Source organism: Homo sapiens, chromosome 13 (assembly GCF_000001405.40).
Source record: "Homo sapiens chromosome 13, GRCh38.p14 Primary Assembly".
Lineage (NCBI taxonomy): Eukaryota > Metazoa > Chordata > Mammalia > Primates > Hominidae > Homo > Homo sapiens.
The window spans coordinates 40,722,525-40,745,687 of NC_000013.11; the positions used below are offsets into that span (position 1 = coordinate 40,722,525).

The 23,163-nt window shown below is 40.8% G+C and overlaps 1 protein-coding gene and 1 non-coding gene across 2 annotated transcripts in view, besides 1 other annotated feature; both read right to left on the minus strand.

The window, feature by feature from the left end:
* Nucleotides 1-5,291: 5,291 nt before the first annotated feature.
* On the minus strand, nt 5,292-5,363 carry MIR320D1 (microRNA 320d-1). The gene has a single exon (NR_031723.2). It is a non-coding gene; the product is annotated as a microRNA 320d-1 (primary transcript).
* A 1,240-nt stretch (nt 5,364-6,603) lies between these two features.
* Nucleotides 6,604-23,163, minus strand: part of MRPS31 (mitochondrial ribosomal protein S31) — a 42,063-nt gene continuing 25,503 nt past the window's right edge. Inside the window, exon 7 of the mRNA NM_005830.4 lies at nt 6,604-7,077. Coding sequence (NP_005821.2) covers nt 6,848-7,077 — 230 coding nt within the window. The 3' untranslated portion in view covers nt 6,604-6,847. The remainder of the gene's footprint in view (nt 7,078-23,163) is intronic.
* Nucleotides 11,959-12,542: an enhancer, noted in NCBI's record as "H3K27ac-H3K4me1 hESC enhancer chr13:41308619-41309202 (GRCh37/hg19 assembly coordinates)". NCBI's record gives its function as "activates a minimal SCP1, AML or CMV promoter by ChIP-STARR-seq in naive H9 embryonic stem cells {active_cell/tissue: H9 hESC(naive)}" and the evidence as "EXISTENCE:reporter gene assay evidence [ECO:0000049][PMID:30033119]".

The window sequence follows — 23,163 nt, forward strand, 5'->3', positions numbered from 1 at the left end:
CTCATGATCCGCCCACCTCGGCCTCCCAAAGTGCTGGGATTACAGGTGTGAGCCACTGCACCCAGCCTGTTCTTGCATATATTTTATTAAGATTTTATTTATTTATATTTTTGATACTACTGTAAATGTTAACTTTTTATAAATTACATTTTTACCTGTTTGTTGCTGGCATACAGAAATGCAACTGCAGAAGTGCCAAATAAATTGTTAATTCTTATGATTTAGCTATAGATATTCTTTTGTTTTCTATGTAATCTAGTCTCTAATTAGGTTTGTCTCTTTCTTCCTTTATTAGCTATCTACTGGTGTATAATGAATTACCTCACACTTAGTGGCTTAAAACATGTACTTATTAACTCACAGTTTCTGTTGGTCTCCTGCTCAGGGTCTCACAAGGCTGTAATCAAGGTGACAGCCAGACTGTGGTCCTTTTTAAAATGTAGTGTCCTCTTCTAAGTTCAGGTGGTTGTTGGCAGGATTCAGCTATCTGAGGCTGTAGGATGGAGTCCCTGCATTGTTCTGGCTGTCAGCTGGGGGTTTCCATCAGCTCCTAGTGGTCCCCAAGGTTTCTTGACAGGTGGCTCATTCACAGGCCTTTTTACAACATGATAGTGCACTCTAGTCCGCTAACAAGGAGTCTTCTGTAACATCACATAATCACAAGAGTAACTATTCCATTACTTTTGCCATATAATATGAACCAGTCAAAGGAGTGACTACCCCATCACCTTAGCCATATTCTATCGTTGAAAGCAAGTCTCAGGTCTCATCCACACTCAAAGAGAGGTTGTGATTTACTTGGGGTTACTATAGGGTGGATTTCCAATCCTAATCACCTTTTTTCTTGCTATTCTGCATAGGCTAGGCCCCCAGTACAATGCTGAAATCATGATAGTGATTATCCTGTTCTTGTTTATAATCTTAAAGGAAATCATTTCGTAATTCAGCATAAAGTAAGATATTTGTTGTAGGCTTTTTGTAAATGCCACTTATTAGGTTAAAAAAGTTCTCTACTCCAAGCTTTCTAAAATTTATTTTAAAAAAATTATCAATGGCTGCCAAGGTTTACCAAACCTTTTTTCCTGCATCTTTTGAGATATGATCTTTTTCCTCCATTGTTAAACTGCCCTGATATTCTGGAACAAACTCAGCTTGATAATGATTTCTAGTCATTGCTGAATTTGCTTTACTATCTTCCTTTGGATTTTTCAAATTTGTCTTCATGATTAATTGTAGAGTGCTTCCTCTTTTTCTATGTTTTGGAATAATTTATATAAAATTGGAATTATTTTTTTCCTGGATGTTCAGTAGAACGTTCCTGAAAACTTCTCTGGGTTTAGTGTTTGTTTTCTGGGAAGATTTTAAAATATCCATCAAATTTCTTTAATGATTGTTCCATTTTTCCTTTAAAATTATTTTTGCTAACATAGTTTTGAGTAATTTGCCCATGAAATTTTGAAATTTATTGCCACGAAATTGTTCATAATAGCTTCTTGAAAAATAAATCTTAATTTTTACATCAATAGTTATTCACATTTTAAAGTTTTTTTTAAAAAATGATTTCCTCAGATACGGGGTCTTGCTCTGTCACTCAGGATGGGGTACAGTGGCACGATCATAGCTCACTGCAGCCTCCAACTCCTAGGCTTAGGCAATCCTTCCATTTCCCTCCCAAGTCACAAGGATTACAATGTGAGCAACTGTACCCAGCTTTTTTAAAAAATAAATCTGGACAGAAATGCATTTGTTTTTTTAAAAATGAATCCGTGTTTGACTTTATGGATCCTATTATACTATTTCTATTAACTTCTGCCTTTACCTTAGACATTTCATTCTATTTCCCTTTAAGATTTACTCTTATTAGATCTCCTAATCACCCCATCTCAGTTTTCTGTTTATATTGTGTTAATATTCCATTTGTAATGTGAAGCTAGTAGGATGTTCCTTTTTGGGGGGTTAATGGGAGTTCATCTTGACATCATAAAAGTGTAAAAATCAAAACCAAATAAGCATATATTTCATGTAGGCCAGGCATGGTGGCTCACACCTGTAATCTCAACACTTTGTGGGGCTGAGCAGGAGGATAGCTTGAGCCCAGGAGCTCAAGGCCAGCCTGGACAACATGGTGAGACTACAAACGAAAACATTATTAGCTATGCATGGTGGTGTGAGCCTGTGGTCCCAACTACATGGGAGGCTGCAGTGGGAGGATCACTTGAGCCCAGGTCAAGGCGGCAGTGAGCCATGTGCCACTGCACTCCAGCCTGGGCAAGACTCTGTCTCAAAAAAAAACCACCACCAACAACAACAGAACAGATTTAAAAAAAAAAAAAAAAACACCACTTGTTCCTTTTCTTATATCTTAAGATTATAACCTTACTTCATTGATTTTCATTCTTTTTTTCTTTTTGAGATGGAGTCTCATTCTGTCGCCCAGGCTGGAGTGCAGTGACGCAATCTCGGCTCACTGCAACTTCCACCTCCCAGGTTCAAGCGATTGTCCTGCCTCAGCCTCCCAAGTAGCTGGGACTACAGGCATGTGCCACCACACCCGGGTAATTTTTGTATTTTTTAGTAGGGACAAAGTTTCACCATGTTGGCCAGGCTGGTCTTGAACTCCTGATTTCAGGTGATCTGCCTGCCTCGGCCTTCCAAAGTGCTGGGATTACAGGCGTGAGCCACCGCGCCTGGCCTGAATATTTTTTTCACTGGCCTATGAATAAGTTAAAAGGGTTTTAAAATTTCTCAACATAGGGAGTTTTCCTGATTAGCGTTCAGTTACTGGTCTCTAACTTACTTGCAATGTAATTGGAAAACATGTTCTACATTCCATTGAAATGTGTCTAGATATGCTTTATGACTAAGTTTATGATTGATTTATCAACATGTGTGCTTGAAATAAATGTATTTGCAGCTATTTAGATCACTGTGTAATGGTCTACAAATTTCCATTAGGTCAAGATAATTAGGTATAGCAAAGCTTCTGTTTGTCTGCTGAGTTCATCAATTATTACGTTAAAATATTTTATCATAATGGTATATTTATTTGTATTTCTATCAGCTTTTGCCTTGTATATTTTGAGTCATGTTATTAGGTATGTACAACTTTGTATTTTTCTGATAAACAGAATTTTTTTAAGTTTCTAATGTCTTTCAGACTATTTTTTTCCTGATATTAATATAGCTATACCAGCTTACCTTTTACTTTCAACCTTTCTGTATTCTTGCTTTACATATAACTCCAGTAAATAGTGTTATCACTTGACATTTAAAAAAACCCAGCCAGGTGCAGTGGCTCACACCTGTAATTCCAGCACTTTGGGAGGCCGAGGCAGGTGGATTACTGGAGGTCAGGAGTTCATGACCAGCCTGGCCAACAAGGTGAAATCCCTTCTCTAATAAAAATAAAAAATTAGCCAGGCGTGGTGGTGTGTGCCTGTAATCCCAACTACTCGGGAGGCTGAGGCAGAAGAATTGCTGGAACCTGGGAGGCGGAGGTTGTGATGAGCCTAGATCGTGTCACTGCACTCTGGCCTGGGCAAAAAGAGCGAAGCTGTCTCAATAAATAAATAAAAATATAAATAAATAAATAAATAATCCACTTGGACATATTCTACTGTCATGTATTTTAATTAATTCCATATGGTATGACTGTTTTATTAGTGCTTAGAATTAAAATATATATTCACTACTTTTTTTTTTAATAGCAGACAGCTTATTGAAGGGCAATAGAGAGCAGAGAGTTTATAAAGACATACTCTGAACACTGAGGCAGAGCACACTGCTGAAAGAGAGTGAGCCAGCAGCATACTCACTGCTTTATTCATCTGCCATTTTCTTCTTGCATCTCAGGCCTTAAATTTAAAATCATTTCTCTTCTGCCTGACGTACAACTTTAGGAGTCTTTTAATGAAAGTTTGCTGGTAGCCAACTGTTTTTGTTTGACAAATGCATTTAGCCCTCATTTCTGAAAGACATTCCAAATATATCAGTAACTGTGGTAAATATAAACAAACTAAACACCCAAATAAAAATAAAAAATTTTCAGTGTCTCATGTGTACTGGAAAAAAAAATGTATTCTGCTGTTATTGGGAGCAGTTTCTATACATGACCAACAGATTGTTGTTTTTGCCTTTTTCTTTCTGAGACAGAGTCTCACTCTGTCACCCAGGCTGGTGTGCAGTGGGGTGATCTTGGCTCACTGCACCCTTCACCTCCTGGGTTCAAGCAATTCTCATGCCTCAGCCTCCCAAGTAGCTGGGACTATAGGCATGTACCGCCATGCCCGGCTACATTTTATATTTTTAGCCGGGCATGGGGCTTCGCCATGTTGGCCAGGCTGGTCTCAAACTCCTGGCCTCAAGTGATCTGCCCACCTTTGCCTCCCAAAATGCTGGGATTACAGGCATGAGCCACCACACCTGGCCAAGGGATTGTTGATTAACTGTGAATTAGTATCTTTCATGAATTGTAAAAAACTCTCACCCATTAACTATTTAGAGGCTAGGCACGGTGGCTCACACCTGTAATCCAGCACTTTGGGAGACTGAGGTGGGTGGATCATCTGAGGTCAGGAGTTCAAGACCAGCCTGGCCAACATGGCGAAACCCCGTCTCGACTAAAAATACAAAAATTAGCCAGGCATGGCCGGGCGCAGTGGCTCATGCCTGTAATCCCGGCACTTTGGGAGGCCGAGGGGGGCGGATCATGAGGTCAGGAGATTGAGACCATCCTGGCTAACACGGTGAAACCCTGTCTCTACTAAAAATACAAAAAAATTAGCCAGGCGTGGTGGTGGGCGCCTGCAGTCCCAGCTACTCGGGAGGCTGAGGCAGGAGAATGGTGTGAACCCAGGAGGCGGAGCTTGCAGTGAGCCCAGATTGCGCCACTGCACTCCAGCCTGGGCAACAGAGTGAGACTCCATCTCAGAAAAAAAAAAAAAAATGAGCGAGGCATGTTGGCACGTGCCTGTAATCCCAGCTACTAGGGGGTGCTGAGGCAAGAGGATCGCTTGAACCTGGGAGGCGGAGGTTGCAGTGAGCTGAGATCATGCCACTGCACTCCAGCCTGGGCAACAGAGCGAGGCTCTGTCTCAATTAAAAAAATGAAAAAAAAAAAACAATTATTTAGAGTTAGCCTCTGACCTATTTTCTCTTTTCTTTCCTATTGGCAATACGATTGTACAAATGTTACTCTTTTACTTTCCTTTCCTATTTCTTTCCTCTTTGCTTCTCTCTGCTGCATATGGATACTTCTTTACTGCTGTTAAACTCCACTAAATTTTTCTTTTTTTTTCTTTTCATCCTCTCAACCCAGCTTTTCTCAACTTTGGGAAGAACTGGGACGAGAAGGCCAACATTTTTAATGTTTTTCAAATCTGCTTGGTCACTTTTAAAGCATCCTGCTCAATATTCATTCTATCTTACACATATTTTATATTCTGACTCTGATAAGCCCAATATTCAGAGGCTTTATGAGTCTGATTCTGTTCTCGTTTCTGCTGGTACACATTCATGGTTTTGCTTCCTTGTGTGTTTTGTCATTTGAAGGCTGTTGTTATGGTGGATTCCTTCACACGGTTCCTGTTGACCTGGAACACTATTAGCTTGGGACCACTGTCAACTAAATCTTGTTTTGAGTTTTTTTAGAATCCTTGAACCTTAAAAAAAATTTAGGCCAGGTGCCATGGCTCACATCTGTAATCCTAGAGCTTTGGGAGGCCAAGGCAGGCAGATCACTTGAGGTCAGGAGTTCAAAACCAGCCTGGCTAACATGGTGAAACCCCGTCTCTACTGAAAATACAAAAAAATTAGCTGGGTGTGGTGGTGGGCACCTGTAATACCAGCTACTTGAGGGGCTGAAGCAGGAGAATTGCTTGAACCCTGGAGGTGGAGGTTGCAGTGAGCCGAGATCACGCCGCTACACTCCAGCCTGGGTGACAGAGCAAGGCTCTGCTAAAAAAGAATAAAAAAAAAAAATTTTTTTTCTTGAGACAGAGTTGCTCTATCACTCAGGCTAGACCATAGTGGTGTAATCAGAGCTCACTGAAGCCTTAACCTCCTAGGATCAGGGGATGCTCCCACCTCAGGCCCCTGAAGAGCTGTGACTACAGGTGCATGCTACCACGCCCGGCTAATTTTTTAATTTTTTGTAGAGACAGGGTCTCCCTATGTTGCCCACGCTGGTCTCAAACTCGTTGGTTTAAGTGATCTTCCTGCCTCGGCCTCTCAAAGTGCTGGGATTATATGCATGAGCCACTGTGCCCAGCCCTCAATCCTTTGAATTGTATGAAAGTTGAGTCACGCTGCTCAGCAGCATAATGGAAAAGAAATAATTCTAACTTTGGCATGAAGACCTAAAGTACTAGAATGGATTAGAATAAACCCTTTATTTCTACAAGATTAATTTCTCTATAGTGACCCAGACTTAGGTGAGGGTAGTTAATTTAGTGTAAAATATATGTATAAATGTAAACAAATAAACGTATGTACATATATATCTGTCTATAAATCATCTCAACTCTTATAACATAGTACTGTGATATCATCCAGTAATTGTATTGTATTTCAAAGAAGTATGGTCACCGAGTGAAAAGAAAAAGGTTAGGAGTTGTTGTCTTAAATGTATTACTAATTCCCAGATATTCTTTTGAACCTATGAATACTGATGATTTTTCTCCATGCAAGAATATTTTTCAGTTACCATCATATTTTTGAAAACAATGTAACATTTATACCAGCCAAATCAAATGTAATAATCAACATAACATATACAAACTCTAGTAAAATTATTTTATTTAGTTGTAATATCCATCTCTAATTGTTTGAAATAAAAATTTCCATGGTCTTAATTGAACTGTATGTTACTTTCTTTTAGAATATCCTTTTTTTCATTAAAATAATTTCTAAACCACTCTATGTGTTCAACCTTCTGTTTAACACTAAGATATGGGTTTTTGGAAAGGCCACAAGTCACCAGCTCCATGAAGTGGCGAATTGGTCCTTGTTTTGGAAAGCTCTCCAGGTGTTTCTCCAGAAATATATGTTCATGAAATTCTGAACCATCATCATCAAAACCTAGGAAATGAGACCAAATACATTACATTATAATTTTAAATACAAAACCTACATCATAAAAATAATATTAATGAGGTAATATAATATTACAGTTTAAGGCATGAACTTTGGAGTTAGACCTAGGTTGCATTTTTTTTTTTTTTTTGAGATGGAGTCTTGCTCTGTTGCTCAGGTTGAAGTGGAGTGGCACGATCTCAGCTCACTGCAACCTCTGCCTTCTGGGTTTCATGCGATTCTCCTGCCTCAGCCTCCCGAGTAGCTGGGACTACAGGCATGTACCACCACGCCCAGCTAATTTTTTTATTTTTAGTAGAGACAGGGTTTCGCCATGTTGGCCAGGCTGGTCTCGAACTCCTGACCTCAAGTTATCTGCCCGCCTCGGCCTCCCAAAGTGTTGGGATTACAGGAGTGAGCCACCACGCCTGGCCCGGAGTTAGATCTAACTTTGCCCACCAATTTAACAACAGTGACTTTGGACTAATTAATTAACTTCTCTGAGCAGCAGATTCCTCAAGCATAATAATGAGAACTAAAATAGCACCTTGCTGGCATTTTTGTAAAGATCAAACAGACACAAACTATATATAAAGTTCATTTACAATGCCTAGCATGCTGTAAATGTTAAAAATGTGGTGGCAAGACCAGGCGTGGTGGCTCACGCCTATAATCCCAGCACTTTGGGAGGCGAGGCAGGCGGCTCACTCAAGGTCAGGAGTTCAAGACAAGCCTGGCCAACATGGTGAAACCCTATCTCCACTAAAAATACCAAAAAAATTAGCCAGGCGTGATGGCATGTGCCTGTAATCCCAGCTACTTGGGAGGCTGAGGTATAAGAATTGTTTGAACCCAAGAGGCAAAGGTTGTAGGGAGCCAAGATCAAGCCACTACACTCCAGCCTGAACAACAGAGTGACACTCTGAATCAATCAATCAATCAATAGGATAGCAATTATTGCCAATGATTATTTTTTTCTTTTGAGATAGAGTTTCACTCTTGTCGCCCAGGCTGGAGTGCAATGGTGCAATCTCGGCTCTCTGCAACCTCCACCTCCCAGGTTCAAGTGATTCTCCTGCCTCGGCCTCCCCAGTAGCTGTGATTACAGGCGCCTGCCACCACGCCCAGCTGATTTTTGTATTTTTAGTAGAGATGGGGTTTCACCATGTTGGTCAGGCTGGCTTGAACTCCTGACCTCAGGTGATCCACCTGCCTCGGCCTCCCAAAGTGCTGGGATTACAGGTGTGAACTACTGCGTCCGGCCGCTAAGGAATATTTTCATAAATAACGGCAACCATCAAGAACACTATAAAAATTATATTTTAAAATACATAAATAAGATGGAATTGTGAAAAATGTTCAGGCAGCTCACAAGAAGCTAAGAGGCCAGGTGCCGTGGCTCACACCTATAATCCCAGCACTTTGGGAGGCTGAGGCAGGGGGATTGCTTGAGCCCAGGAGTTCAAGACCAGACTGGGAAACATGGTAAAACCCTGTCTCTACAAAAAATTAGCCAGGTGTGGTGGCACATGCCTGTAGTCCCAGCTACTTGAAAGGCTGAGGTGGGAGGATCACCTGAGCCTGGGAGGTCGAGGCTGTAGTGAGCTGTGATCATACCATGCACTCTAGCCTGGGCGACAGAGTGAGACCCTGTCTCAAAAAAAAAAAAAAAAAAGCCAAGAAAAGACAGAGGAGGCCGGGTGTGGTGGCTCATGCCTGTAATCCCAACACTGTGGGAGGCTGGGGGTGGCAGGTAGGGGGGCAGGTCACAAGGTCAGGAGTTCAAGACCAGCCTGGCCAACGTGGTGAAACCCCGTCTCTACTAAAAATACAAAAATTAGCTGGGCACGGTGGCATGTGCCTGTAGTCCCAGCTACTCGGGAGGCTGAGGCAGGAGAACTGCTTGAACCTGGCAGGCAGAGGTTGCAGTGAGCTGAGATTGCGTCACTGCACTCCAGCCTGGGCAACAAAGTGAGACTCTGTCCAAAAAAAAAAAAGAAAAAGAAAAAAGAAAAGACAGAGGAAAGAGAGATAGAGAAAATGAACAGAAAATAATACTTTAAATGTAAATAATCTAAGTATACAAATTAAAAGACAGAGACTGGCACAGTGGATATAAAAACATAAACCAACTATATGCTGTTCATAAGAAATTCACCTTAAACACCACATAGGTAGATTGAAAGTAAAAAGGACGGTTAATGTTATCTTGGTACATTAATTTTTTTCAAAGTATAACTGGCTGTATGAATATCAGATAAAGTAGATCAACAGTCTTTTTAACTTAGAATGCTCCAGGAGGGCAGAATGAATAGATCTTTCATGAATGAATCAATGAATGAATGACAGCCAAGTGGTACTGGCACATATAATGCAAAGGAAAAAAAAAGAGAGCAATAAAGAGGGTATACTATATACAAAAATAAGTTCTAGATAAATAGAAAAAGGCTACAGAGCTATGTACAAATTAAACCTCTATTTGCTAAAGACATTCTAAACATTCTAAATTATCTTACAGCCAAGGCCTGTAGCCTCAAGTCAAGCGGTTGGAAGATTTCTCATTGGAGAAACTCAGTAAGAATTATAAATATGGAGTTACAGAGGTCCTTAAATGAAGACGTTCCTTCCCAATTCCTCTCAAATGAAGCCACCAGTTAACTAGTCCCATCCATTCACATGCATTTAACAAACAGCTTTTCATGGCCTTCCTCTCAAGTATAAACAAACATTCAAAGAACAGTAGACATTTTAAGAAAGTGTCTAGCGTAAGTGACAGACACCTTGGCAGGAACTGATACCTATCTCTCAAATCCATTCTGGCTTTTTATCTTGGTAAAAGAACTAAACATGTGCATGGGCAGGGGATGGTGGCTCATGTCTATAATCTCAGCACTTTGGGAGGCCGAGGCAGGAGGATAGCTTGAAGCCAGGAGTTTAAGACCAGCCTGAGCAACAAAGTGAGACCCCATCTCTACAAAACATTTGAAAATTAGCCAGGTGTGGTGGTGTGCACCTGTAGTCCTAGTACCTGGAACGCTGGGGGCAGAAGGATCAATCACTTGAGCCCAGGAGTTTGAGGCTGCAGTAAGCTGTGATCACACCACTGCACTCCAGCCTGAGTGACAGAGTGACACTACACCTCTTAAAAGAAGAAAAAAAAAACCTGTACATGGCTGTTGAGCAACATTACATTTCCCAGCCCCTTCTGGGTTAGGCATGAGCATATGTTTAAATTATTACCAGCAGAACCTAAACAGAAGTGATGTGTGACATTTACAGCCCAGAGCCTTCAAGAGAATGAAACTGGGCCAGGCACAGTGGCTCACGCCTGTAATCTCAACACTTTGGGGAAAAAAAATCTAACACTAAAAAGAAGAAGAACAGCAACAATGCATTTGGTTTTTTTTTTTTTTTTTTTTTTTTTTTGAGAGGGAGTTTCACTCTTGTTGCCCAGCTGGAGTGCAATGGTGCAATCTCAGCTCACTGCAACCTCTGCCTCCTGGGTTCGAGCAATTCTCTTGCCTCAGCCTCCTGAGTAGCTGGGATTACAGGCACTCACCACCATGCCCAGCTAATTTTTGTATTTTCAGTAGAGATGGGGTTTCACCATGTTGGCCAGGCTGGTCTCAAACTCCTGACCTCAGGTGATCCGCCTGCTTCGGCCTCCCAAAGTGCTGGGATCACAGGTGTGAGCCACCGCGCCCAGCCCAATGAAGCATTTGGAAGTTAAAAATATGGCAACAAAAATCCAATGGAGAGATTGTAAGATAATAGTTAAAGAATGTCCCCGGAGCATAGAACAAAAGGAGAAAAAGAAAAAGATTGGGAGGCCGAAATTATCAAATGATACAAGAAAATTTACCCAGAATTGAAAAATGAAGTTACTGGATTAAAATTATCTAATAATGTCTAGAACAATGATTGTAAACAAAATCCCTTTCCAAGGATAACCCTCCTGAAACTTATGAATATTATGAAGAGAAGATGCTAAAAGTTACCAAAAAATAAATAAAAGAGATCACATACAATGAATCTAGGATAAGAATGGAAAAAATGGCAAAAGCATTCTCAACAACATAAGACAGTGGAGTGGCTGGGCACGTGGATCATGGCTGTAAGCCCAGCACTCTGGGAGGATGAGGCGAGTGGATTGCTTATTAAGTGCAGGAGTTCACGACCAGCCTGGGTAACATAGTAAAACCCCGTCCCTAATAAAAATATAAAAAATTAGCCAGGCATGGTGGTGGGCGCCTGTATGGGAGGCCGAGGTGGGAAATAACCTGAGCCTGGGAGGTCAAGGCTTCAGTGAGCCAAGAATGTGCCACTGCACTCTAGCCTGGACAATCAGAGTGAGACTCTGACTCAAAAAAAAAAAAAAAAAAAAAAGGCCAGGTGCAGCGGCTCATGTCTGTAATCCCAGCTATTAGGGAGGCTGAGGCAGGAGAATAGCTTGAACCTGAGAGGTGGAGGTTGCAGTGAGCTAAGATCATGCCAATGCACTACAGCCTGGGTGACAAAGCAAGAAAGACAATGGAGCAAAGGCTTATTGTGAAATAAAACTATTTCCAATCTTGATTTTTATCCTCAAGTAAACCATTAAAAAAGTACCAAGACAGAGGAAAGATATTTTATATATCAAGGGTCTCAAAGCATGTGCTTCAACAAAATGAGATAGAGTAGAAAATATGTGGTCCAAAAAGAAAGGGTATCCAACATAGAAGGGACAGAAGTCCCAGGAGGAGGGCAAAATGATAGGAAGACAGTTGTGCCAGAAGACCTAGGTATAGATGACAGCTACAGACAGACAGCTCCAGGTACCCATGGACAAAAAACAAAATTAACAGGAAATTCAATATTTTTGTGCATGTGAATTTGAGAGGCTGTATGAAATGTAGGAAAACTTAGCTAGAGACTCAAGGAAAAACAAAGCAAATAGGAAGAAAAATAAAGCAATTGTTAACTTTCAGTGGGAACAGGAAAGAATATATAGTAATTTTTTGTCTTACCATTAAACAGTTTTCCAGGCTGGGAACAGTGGCTTACACCTGTAATCCCAGCACTTTGGGAGGCCAAGCCAGGAGGATCACTTCAGCCCAGCAGTTTGAGGCCAGCCTGGGCAACATAGTGAGACCTCGTCTTTAGAAAAAAAAATTAGCCAGGCATGGTGGTGTGCCTGTGGTCCTCTCCTCACTAGAAAGGCTGAGATGGGAGGATCACTTGAGCCCAGGAATTCGAGGTTGCAGTGAGCCATGATCCTGCCACTGCACTCCAGTCTGGGTGACGGAGTGAGACCCTGTCTCAAAAAACCCCAAATAACGCTAGGCGGGGGAGGAGCCAAGATGGCCGAATAGCAACAGCTCCAGTCTACAGCTCCCAGCCTGAGCGACGCAGAAGACGGGTGATTTCTGCATTTCCATCTGAGGTACCGGGTTCATCTCACTAGGGAGTGCCAGACAGTGGGCGCAGGTCAGTGGGTGCGCGCACCTTGCGCGAGCCGAAAGAGGGTGAGGCATTGCCTCACTCGGGAAGCGCAAGGGGTCAGGGAGTTACCTTTCCTAATCAAAGAAAGGGGTGACGGACGGCACCTGGAAAATCGGGTCACTCCCACCCGAATACTGCGCTTTTCCAACGGGCTTAAAAAACGGCGCACCAGATTATATCCCGCACCTGGCTCAGAGGGTCCTACGCCCACGGAGTCTCGCTGATTGCTAGCACAGCAGTCTGAGATCAAACTGCAAGGCGGCAGTGAGGCTGCGGGAGGGGCGCCCACCATTGCCCAGGCTTGCTTAGGTAAACAAAGCAGCCAGGAAGCTCGAACTGGGTGGAGCCCACCACAGCTCAAGGAGGCCTGCCTGCCTCTGTAGGCTCCACCTCTGGGGGCAGGGCGCAGACAAACAAAAAGACAGCAGTAACCTCTGCAGACTTAAATGTCCCTGTCTGACAGCTTTGAAGAGAGCAGTGGTTCTCCCAGCACGCAGCTGGAGATCTGAGAACGGGCAGACTGCCTCCTCAAGTGGGTCCCTGACCCCTGACCCCCGAGCAGCCTAACTGGGAGGCACCCACCAGCAGGGGCAGACTGACACCTCACACTGCAGGGTACTCCAACAGACCTGCAGCTGAGGGTCCTGTCTGTTAGAAGGAAAACTAACAAACAGAAAGGACATCCACACCAAAAACCCATCTGTACATCACCATCATCAAAGACCAAAAGGAGATAAAACCACAAAGATGGGGAAAAAACAGAACAGAAAAACTGGAAACTCTAAAAAGCAGAGCGCCTCTCCTCCTCCAAAGGAACGCAGCTCCTCACCAGCAACGGAACAAAGCTGGATGGAGAATGACTTTGACGAGCTGAGAGAAGAAGGCTTCAGACGATCAAATTACTCTGAGCTACGGGAGGACATTCAAACCAAAGGCAAAGAAGTTGAAAACTTTGAAAAAAATTTAGAAGAATGTATAACTAGAATAACCAATACAGAGAAGTGCTTAAAGGAGCTGATGGAGCTGAAAACCAAGGCTCGAGAACTACGTGAAGAATGCAGAAGCCTCAGGAGCCGATGCGATCAACTGGAAGAAAGGGTATCAGCAATGGAAGATGAAATGAATGAAATGAAGCAGGAAGGAAAGTTTAGAGAAAAGAGAATAAAAAGAAACGAGCAAAGCCTCCAAGAAATATGGGACTATGTGAAAAGACCGAATCTACGTCTGATTGGTGTACCTGAAAGTGATGGGGAGAATGGAACCAAGTTGGAAAACACTCTGCAGGATATTATCCAGGAGAATTTACCCAATCTAGCAAGGCAGGCCAACGTTCAGATTCAGGAAATACAGAGAACGCCACAAAGATACTCCTCGAGAAAAGCAACTCCAAGACACATAATTGTCAGATTCACCAAAGTTGAAATGAAGGAAAAAATGTTAAGGGCAGCCAGAGAGAAAGGTAGGGTTACCCTCAAAGGGAAGCCCATCAGACTAACAGCGGATCTCTCGGCAGAAACCCTACAAGCCAGAAGAGAGTGGGGACCAATATTGAACATTCTTAAAGAAAAGAATTTTCAACCCAGAATTTCATATCCAGTCAAACTAAGCTTCATAAGTGAAGGAGAAATAAAATACTTTACAGACAAGCAAATGCTGAGAGATTTTGTCACCACCAGGCCTGCCCTAAAAGAGCTCCTGAAGGAAGCGCTAAACATGGAAAGGAACAACCGGTACCAGCCGCTGCAAAATCATGCCAAAATGTAAAGACCATCAAGACTAGGAAGAAACTGCATCAACTAACGAGCAAAATAACCAGCTAACATCATAATGACAGGATCAAATTCACACATAACAATATTAACCTTAAATGTAAATGGACTAAATGCTCCAATTAAAAGACACAGACTGGCAAATTGGATAAAGAGTCAAGACCCATCAGTGTGCTGTATTCAGGAAACCCATCTCACGTGCAGACACACACATAGGCTCAAAATAAAGGGATGGAGGAAGATCTACCAAGCAAATGGAAAACAAAAAAAGGCAGGGGTTGCAATCCTAGTCTCTGATAAAACAGACTTTAAACCAACAAAGATCAAAAGAGACAAAGAAGGCCATTACATAATGGTAAAGGGATCAATTCAACAAGAAGAGCTCACTATCCTAAATATATATGCACCCAATACAGGAGCACCCAGATTCATAAAGCAAGTCCTGAGTGACCTACAAAGAGACTTAAGACTCCCACACATTAATAATGGGAGACTTTAACACCCCACTGTCAACATTAGACAGATCAATGAGACAGAAAGTCAACAAGGATACCCAGGAATTGAACTCAGCTCTGCACCAAGCAGACCTAATAGACATCTACAAAACTCTCCACCCCAAATCAACAGAATATACATTTTTTTCAGCACCACACCACACCTATTCCAAAATTGACCACATACTTGGAAGTAAAGCTCTCCTCAGCAAATGTAAAAGAACAGACATTATAACAAACTATCTATCTGTCAGACCACAGTGCAATCAAACTAGAACTCAGGATTAAGAATCTCACTCAAAACTGCTCAACTACATGGAAACTGAACAACCTGCTCTTCAATGACTACTGGGTACATAACGAAATGAAGGCAGAAATAAAGATGTTCTTTGAAACCAACGAGAACAAAGACACAACAAACCAGAATCTCTGGGACACATTCAAAGCAGTGTGTAGAGGGAAATTTATAGCACTAAATGCCCACAAGAGAAAGCAGGAAAGATCCAAAATTGACACCCTAACATCACAATTAAAAGAACTAGAAAAGCAAGAGCAAATACATTCAAAAGCTAGCAGAAGGCAAGAAATAACTAAAATCAGAGCACAACTGAAGGAAATAGAGACACAAAAAACCCTTCAAAAAATTAATGAATCCAGGAGCTGGTTTTTTGAAAGGATCAACAAAATTGATAGACCACTAGCAAGACTAATAAAGAAAAAAAGAGAGAAGAATCAAATAGATGCAATAAAAAACGATAAAGGGGATATCACCACCAATCCCACAGAAATACAAACTACCATCAGAGAATACTACAAACACCTCTACGCAAATAAACTAGAAAATCTAGAAGAAATGGATAAATTCCTTGACACATACACTCTCCCAAGACTAAACCAGGAAGAAGTTGAATCTCTGAATAGACCAATAACAGGATCTGAAATTGTGGCAATGATCAATAGCTTACCAACCAAAAAGAGTCCAGGACCAGATGGATTCACAGCTGAATTCTACCAGAGGTACAAGGAGGAACTGGTACCATTCCTTCTGAAATTATTCCAATCAATAGAAAAAGAGGGAATCCTCCCTAACTCATTTTATGAGGCCAGCATCATTCTGATACCAAAGCCAGGCAGAGACACAACCAAAAAAGAGAATTTTAGACCAATATCCTTGATGAACATTGATGCAAAAATCCTCAATAAAATACTGGCAAACCGAATCCAGCAGCACATCAAAAAGCTTATCCATCATGATCAAGTGGGCTTCATCCCTGGGATGCAAGGCTGGTTCAATATACGCAAATCAATAAATGTAATCCAGCACATAAACAGAGCCAAAGACAAAAACTACATGATTATCTCAATAGATGCAGAAAAGGCCTTTGACAAAATTCAACAACCTTCATGCTAAAAACTCTCAATAAATTAGGTATTGATGGGACATATTTCAAAATAATAAGAGATATCTATGACAAACCCACAGCCAATATCATACTGAATGGGCAAAAACTGGAAGCATTCCCTTTGAAAACTGGCACAAGACAGGGATGCCCTCTCTCACCACTCCTATTCAACATAGTGTTGCAAGTTCTGGCCAGGACAATTAGGCAGTAGAAAGAAATAAAGGGTATTCAATTAGGAAAAGAGGAAGTCAAATTGTCCCTGTTTGCAGATGACATGATTGTATATCTAGAAAACCCCATTGTCTCAGCCCAATATCTCCTTAAGCTGATAAGCAACTTCAGTAAAGTCTCAGGATACAAAATCAATGTGCAAAAATCACAAGCATTCCTATACACCAACAACAGACAAACAGAGAGCCAAATCATGAGTGAACTCCCATTCACAATTGCTTCAAAGAGAATAAAATACCTAGGAATCCAACTTACAAGGGATGTAAAGGACCTCTTCAAGGAGAACTACAAACCACTGCTCAATGAAATAAAGGAGGACATAAACAAATGGAAGAACATTCCATGCTTATAGATAGGAAGAATCAATATCGTGAAAATGGCCATACTGCCCAAGGTAATTTACAGATTCAATGCCATCCCCATCAAGCTACCAATGACTTTCTTCACAGAATTGGAAAAAAATACTTTAAAGTTCATATGGAACCAAAAAAGAGCCCACATCGCCAAGTCAATTCTAAGCCAAAAGAACAAAGCTGGAGGCATCACACTACCTGACTTCAAACTATACTACAAGGCTACAGTAACCAAAACAGCATGGTACTGGTACCAAAACAGAGACATAGATCAATGGAACAGAACAGAGCCCTCAGAAGTAACGCCGTATATCTACAACTATCTGATCTTTGACAAACCTGAGAAAAACAAGCAATGGGGAAAGGATTCCCTATTTAATAAACGGTGCTGGGAAAACGGGCTAGCCATATGTAGAAAGCTGAAACTGGATCCCTTCCTTACACCTTATACAAAAATCAATTCAAGATGGATTAAAGACTTAAACGTTAGACCTAAAACCATAAAAACCCTAGAAGAAAACCTAGGCATTACCATTCAGGACACAGGCATGGGCAAGGACTTCATGACTAAAACACCAAAAGCAATGGCAACAAAAGACAAAATTGACAAATGGGATCTAATTAAACTAAAGAGCTTCTGCACAGCAAAAGAAACTACCATCAGAGTGAACAGGCAACCTACAAAATGGGAGAAAATTTTCGCAACCTACTCATCTGACAAAGGGCTAATATCCAGAATCTACAATGAACTCAAGCAAATTTACAAGAAAAAAACAACCCCATCAAAAAGTGGGCGAAGGACATGAACAGACACTTCTCAAAAGAAGACATTTATGCAGCCAAAAAACACATGAAAAAATGCTCACCATCACTGGCCATCAGAGAAATGCAAATCAAAACCACAATGAGATACCATCTCACACCAGTTAGAATGGCAATCATTAAAAAGTCAGGAAACAACAGGTGCTGGAGAGGATGTGGAGAAATAGGAACACTTTTACACTGTTGGTGGGACTGTAAACTAGTTCAACCATTGTGGAAGTCAGTGTGGCGATTCCTCAGGGATCTAGAACTAGAAATACCATTTGACCCAGCCATCCCATTACTGGGTATATACCCAAAGGACTATACATCATGCTGCTATAAAGACAAATGCACACGTATGTTTATTGCGGCATTATTCACAATAGCAAAGGCTTGGAACCAACCCAAATGTCCAACAATGATAGACTGGATTAAGAAAATGTGGCACATATACACCATGGAATACTATGCAGCCATAAAAAATGATGAGTTCATGTCCTTTGTAGGGACATGGATGAAATTGGAAATCATCATTCTCAGTAAACTATCGCAAGAACAAAAAACCAAACACCGCATATTCTCACTCATAGGTGGGAATTGAACAGTGAGATCACATGGACACAGGAAGGGGAACATCACACTCTGGGGACTGTGGTGGGGTGGGGGGAGGGGGGAGGGATAGCACTGGGAGATATACCTAATGCTAGATGACGAGTTAGTGGGTGCAGCACACCAGCATGGCACATGTATACGTATGTAACTAACCTGCACAATGTGCACATGTACCCTAAAACTTAAAGTATAATAAAAAAAAATTAAAAAAAAAAACAACAAAGAAAACCCCAAATAACAAAACAACACCCCACACAATTGTCCATAGTCATATTAGTGTAAACAATGAATTCATGTCTTACAAAAAATTGTAATATATCTACATTGGAAGGATGAGGAGAAGATATATATACTAGATGACATCTAAAATAGAGGTAAGCATATAATTTAGAAATATAAAAAATAAAACACAGCTAAAAGATTAAAAACTGTTGGCTCTGAGAACAGGCTTAATAGGTGATAAAAAGAACTGCTTTATAAGCCTTGTGCTTTATATTATTACCTTTTATATTAAACTTATATTAAACTAAATGTTTACTATGATTTTTAAAGTCAAATTATTTTAAAAGAAGGCAAAGAGACAAACTGGGAAACATATTTCCAACACATGTAAGAGTTTAAGAATGAAAGTGCATAATATATTGAGTTCCTACAAACACTATTAACAAAGAGCCCAACAGAAACAGTCAAAGGATGTAAAAACCTAAGTCACAGAGGAAGTACAAATAGCCAATAAACATATGAAAAGATTTGTAATCTGGTTATCAATCAGGGAAATGCAAATAAAAACACCACTGATATCATTTTTTACCCAGAACATTTGAAAGGTTAACAATATCCAGTATCAGTTAGGCTGCAGAGAAACAGAATTTTTACATAGTTGGTTGACTGGCTATCATTTCAGAAGAGACTTTGTAAGTATTTATTGCCATTGAAAATATACCTATTCTGAATTGTACTCAAACATGTACACAAGAACATGTGTAAAAGGATCTACTATAGCTCCATCATTCAAAAGGAAAATGGTAAAAGAAATTATAGTCTGCATTCATAACAATGGGACATATAGAACTATAAAATGAATAAGGTCTATCTCTATGTACTGACAAGGAAATGCTTTCAAGATATATTGCTAAGTAACAAAATACACACACACACACACACACACACACACACACACACACACACACACTGCAGGACAATATATGTATGGTATGCTCCCATACAAGTCAAATAAAACAGCAGATAAATCTGTAACTGCCATTTAATGTCGAGTGAGAGGACATATATCAAACTATTGACGATGGTTATTTCAGGAAAAAAAGAAGAGAACTGAGGGGTAAAGTACAGTATTCTTTCACACGATTTGACTCTTTTGCAAATAAACTTTCATTATTATTTATGTAATTTAAAATATTTTTAATAAACCAAAGAAGCACAATACAGTAAAGAAAACATAAGAGACAGTGAAACATTAAACATAAGGAGGAAATCCTATATGATGCACAATCAAATAAGGTGACAGGTTAATTGTGTCTAATTCTGCTTTAAGTATTGAATACACTTTTAAAATATGGTACAACAAATAAAGGGTGAAATCCAGTTAATAGCAATGACCAATTATTTTTGAGAAGGCCATAGTAGAGCACTGAACCAAACTCAGTCATTTTCACTTTGAATTGCTGTTTCCACTTCTATGTATTATCAAAACTATTATTTATTTTCCTGTCAGTACTTTAAGGCTCCTGTTCACAGGCCATAATCTCATCAAAAACAACAAACAGATCCTGCTACCTGTCAGTTAGCACATACCTAATACTCTTTACGCTTCCCCTAATTTTCTCCACACTATACTTGCCCAAATAACAGAGCCCTTCTTTAGGGTTTTATGGTAATTTGAACTTTTCTCACTGTTCTTGTTGGATCATATTACAGCACATATTTCAGATACCCTAGAGGACACATAAGAAGTGAAAAAGTTTAAACCAACTAAAGAATAGAAACAAAAGTGTGATTAACATTCATCCTGACCTTCTTTGCCCACTGAAGCCTCTAAATTGAGAATTACTCTAGGAAAGCATATCAAAAATTAGCCTTAGACTAGCCACATGCAGAAGACTGAAACTGGACCCCTACCTTTGACCATGTACAAAAATCAACTCAAGGTGGATTAAAGGCTTAAATGTGAAATCTCAAACTATAAAAACCCTACAAGAAGATCTAGGAAATACCATCCTAGACAACAGCCCAGGCAAGGACTTCACGACAAAGTCAAAAAGCAACTGTAGGCAAGGCGCAGTGACTCACCCCTGTAATCACAGCACTTTGGGAAGCTGAGGCAGGCAGATCACCTGAGGTCAGGAGTTCAAGACCAGCCTGGCCAACATGGTAAAACCCTGCCTCTTCTAAAAATACAAAAAGAATTAGCTGGGCATGGTGGCAGGCGCCTGTCATTCCAACTAACTGGAAGGCTGAGGCAGGAGAATCACTTGAACCCAAGAAGCAGAGGTTACAGTGAGCTGAGATCACGCCAATGCACTCCAGCCTGGGCAACAAGAGCGAAAACTCTGTCTCAAAAAAAAAAAAAGCAACTGTAACACAAACAAAAATTGAGAAGTGGGACCTCATTAAAGAGCTTCTGCACAGCAAAAAGAAATTTCAATAAACAGAAAACCTACAGAATGACAGAAAATATCTGCAAACTATGTATCCAATAAAGGTCTAATATCCAGAATCTATAAGGAACTCAAACAATTGAAGAAGCAAAAAACAATCAACCCTATTAAAAGGTGGGCAAAGGAGATGAACAGACACTTCTCAAAAGAAGACATACACATGGCCAGCAAACATATGAAAAATGCTCATTATCACGGATCATCCGGGCAATGCAAATCAAAACCACAATGAGATACCATCTCACACCAGTCTGAATAGCTACTATTAAAATGCTGAAAACAACAGATGCTCCTAAGGTTGCAGAGGAAAGGGAATGCTTATAAACTGTTGGTGGGAATGTAAATTAGTTTAGCCACTGTGGAAAGCAGTCTGGAGATTTCTCAAATAACTTAAAACAGAACTACCATTCAACTTAGCAATCCAATTACTGGGTATATGCCCAAAGGAATATACATTATTCTACCATAAAGATACATGCATATGTATGTTCATTGCAGCACTATTCACAATAGCAAAGACATGGAATCAACCTAGGTGCACATGAATGGTGGACTGGATAAAGAAAATGGGGTACATACACACCATGGGATACTATGCAGCTATAAAAATCATGAGGTCATGGCCTTTGCTGCAACATAGATGGAGCTGGGGGCCATTATCCTAAGTGAATTAATGCAGAAACAGAAAACCAAATACTGCATGTCCTCACTTATAAGTGGAAGCTAAACACTGAGTACATATAGACACAAAGAAGGGAATGACAGACACTGGGGCCTATTTGAGGGTGGAGGGTGGGAGGAGAATGAAGATTGGGAAACCACCTATCAGGTATTACGCTGATTACCTGGGTGACAAAATTATCTGTACACCAAACTCCCTGACACTCCACTTACCCATGTAACAAACTTGCACATGTACCCCTGAACCTAAAATTAAAGTTGGAAATAAAAAAATAGGAAGAAAACACAAATTAGAGACACAAATAAATGAGAGTTTTAAAAAGGAGACATAAATTAAAAAGTAAACATTTAGCTATTTGAAAAAAATAATTTCCAATTCCCTAACAACATATGATGTTTTCATATACCATCCTTATATGTTCTTTGGTAAGGTATCTGAACAGATATTTTGCCATTTTCTTTTTATTATTTATTTATTTTTGAGATAGAGTCGCGCTCTGTAGCCCAGGCTGGAGTGCAGTGGCGCGACCTCTGCCTCCCAGGTTCAAGCAATGTATGTTCACTGCAGCACTATTCACAATAGCAAAGACATTATACACTCCACCTCTCAGGTTCAAGCAATTCGTGTGCCTCAGCCTCCTGAGTAGCTGGGATTACAGGCCCCGCCATCACACCTGGCTAATTTTTGCATTTTTAGTAGAGGCGGGGTTTCGCCATGTTGGCCAGGCTGGTCTCAAACTCTTTACCTGAGGTGATCCGCCCACCTCGGCCTCCCAAAGTGCTGGGATTACAGGCATGAGCCACTGCACCCAGCCCATTTTATTTTTATTTATTTATTTTTGAGATGGAGTCTTGCTCTGTCACCTAGACTGGAGTGCAGTGGCGAGATCTCAGCTCACTGCAACCTCCCTGTCCTGAGTTCAAGAGATTCTCATGCCTCAGCCTCCTGAGTAGCTGGAATTACAGGCATGCACCACCAAGCCTGGCTAATTTTTGTATTTTTAGAGGAGTTGGGGTTTCATCATGTTGACCAGTCTGGTCTCAAACTCCTAACCTCAACTGATCCACCCACCTCGGCCTCCTAAAGTGCTGGGATTATAGGCATGAGCCACTGCGCCCGGCCATATTTTGCATTTTATTTTATTTTACTTTATCTTATTTTATTTATTTTGAGACGGAGTTTCACTCTTGTTGCCCAGGCTGGAGTACAATGGCACAATCTCGGCTCACCACAACCTCTGCCTCCCAGCTTCAAGCCATTCTCCTGCCTCAGCCTCCCGAGTAGCTGGGATTACAGGCATGTGCCACCAAGCCCGGCTAATTTTGTATTTTTAGTAGAGATGGGGTTTCACCATGTTGGCCAGGCTGGTCTTGAACTCGTGACCTCAGGTGATATACCTGCCTCAGTCTCCCAAAGTTCTGGGATTACAGGTGTGAGCCACCACGCCCAGCCAAGAATTTTTAATATGTATTTTGTATACCTGTCTTTTATCACAGATAGATGTTTTGCAAATATTTTCTCCTACACTGTGGCTTGTCTTTTTATATTTTAACAGTGTCTTTCACAGTGCAAATGTCTTATTTTTAAT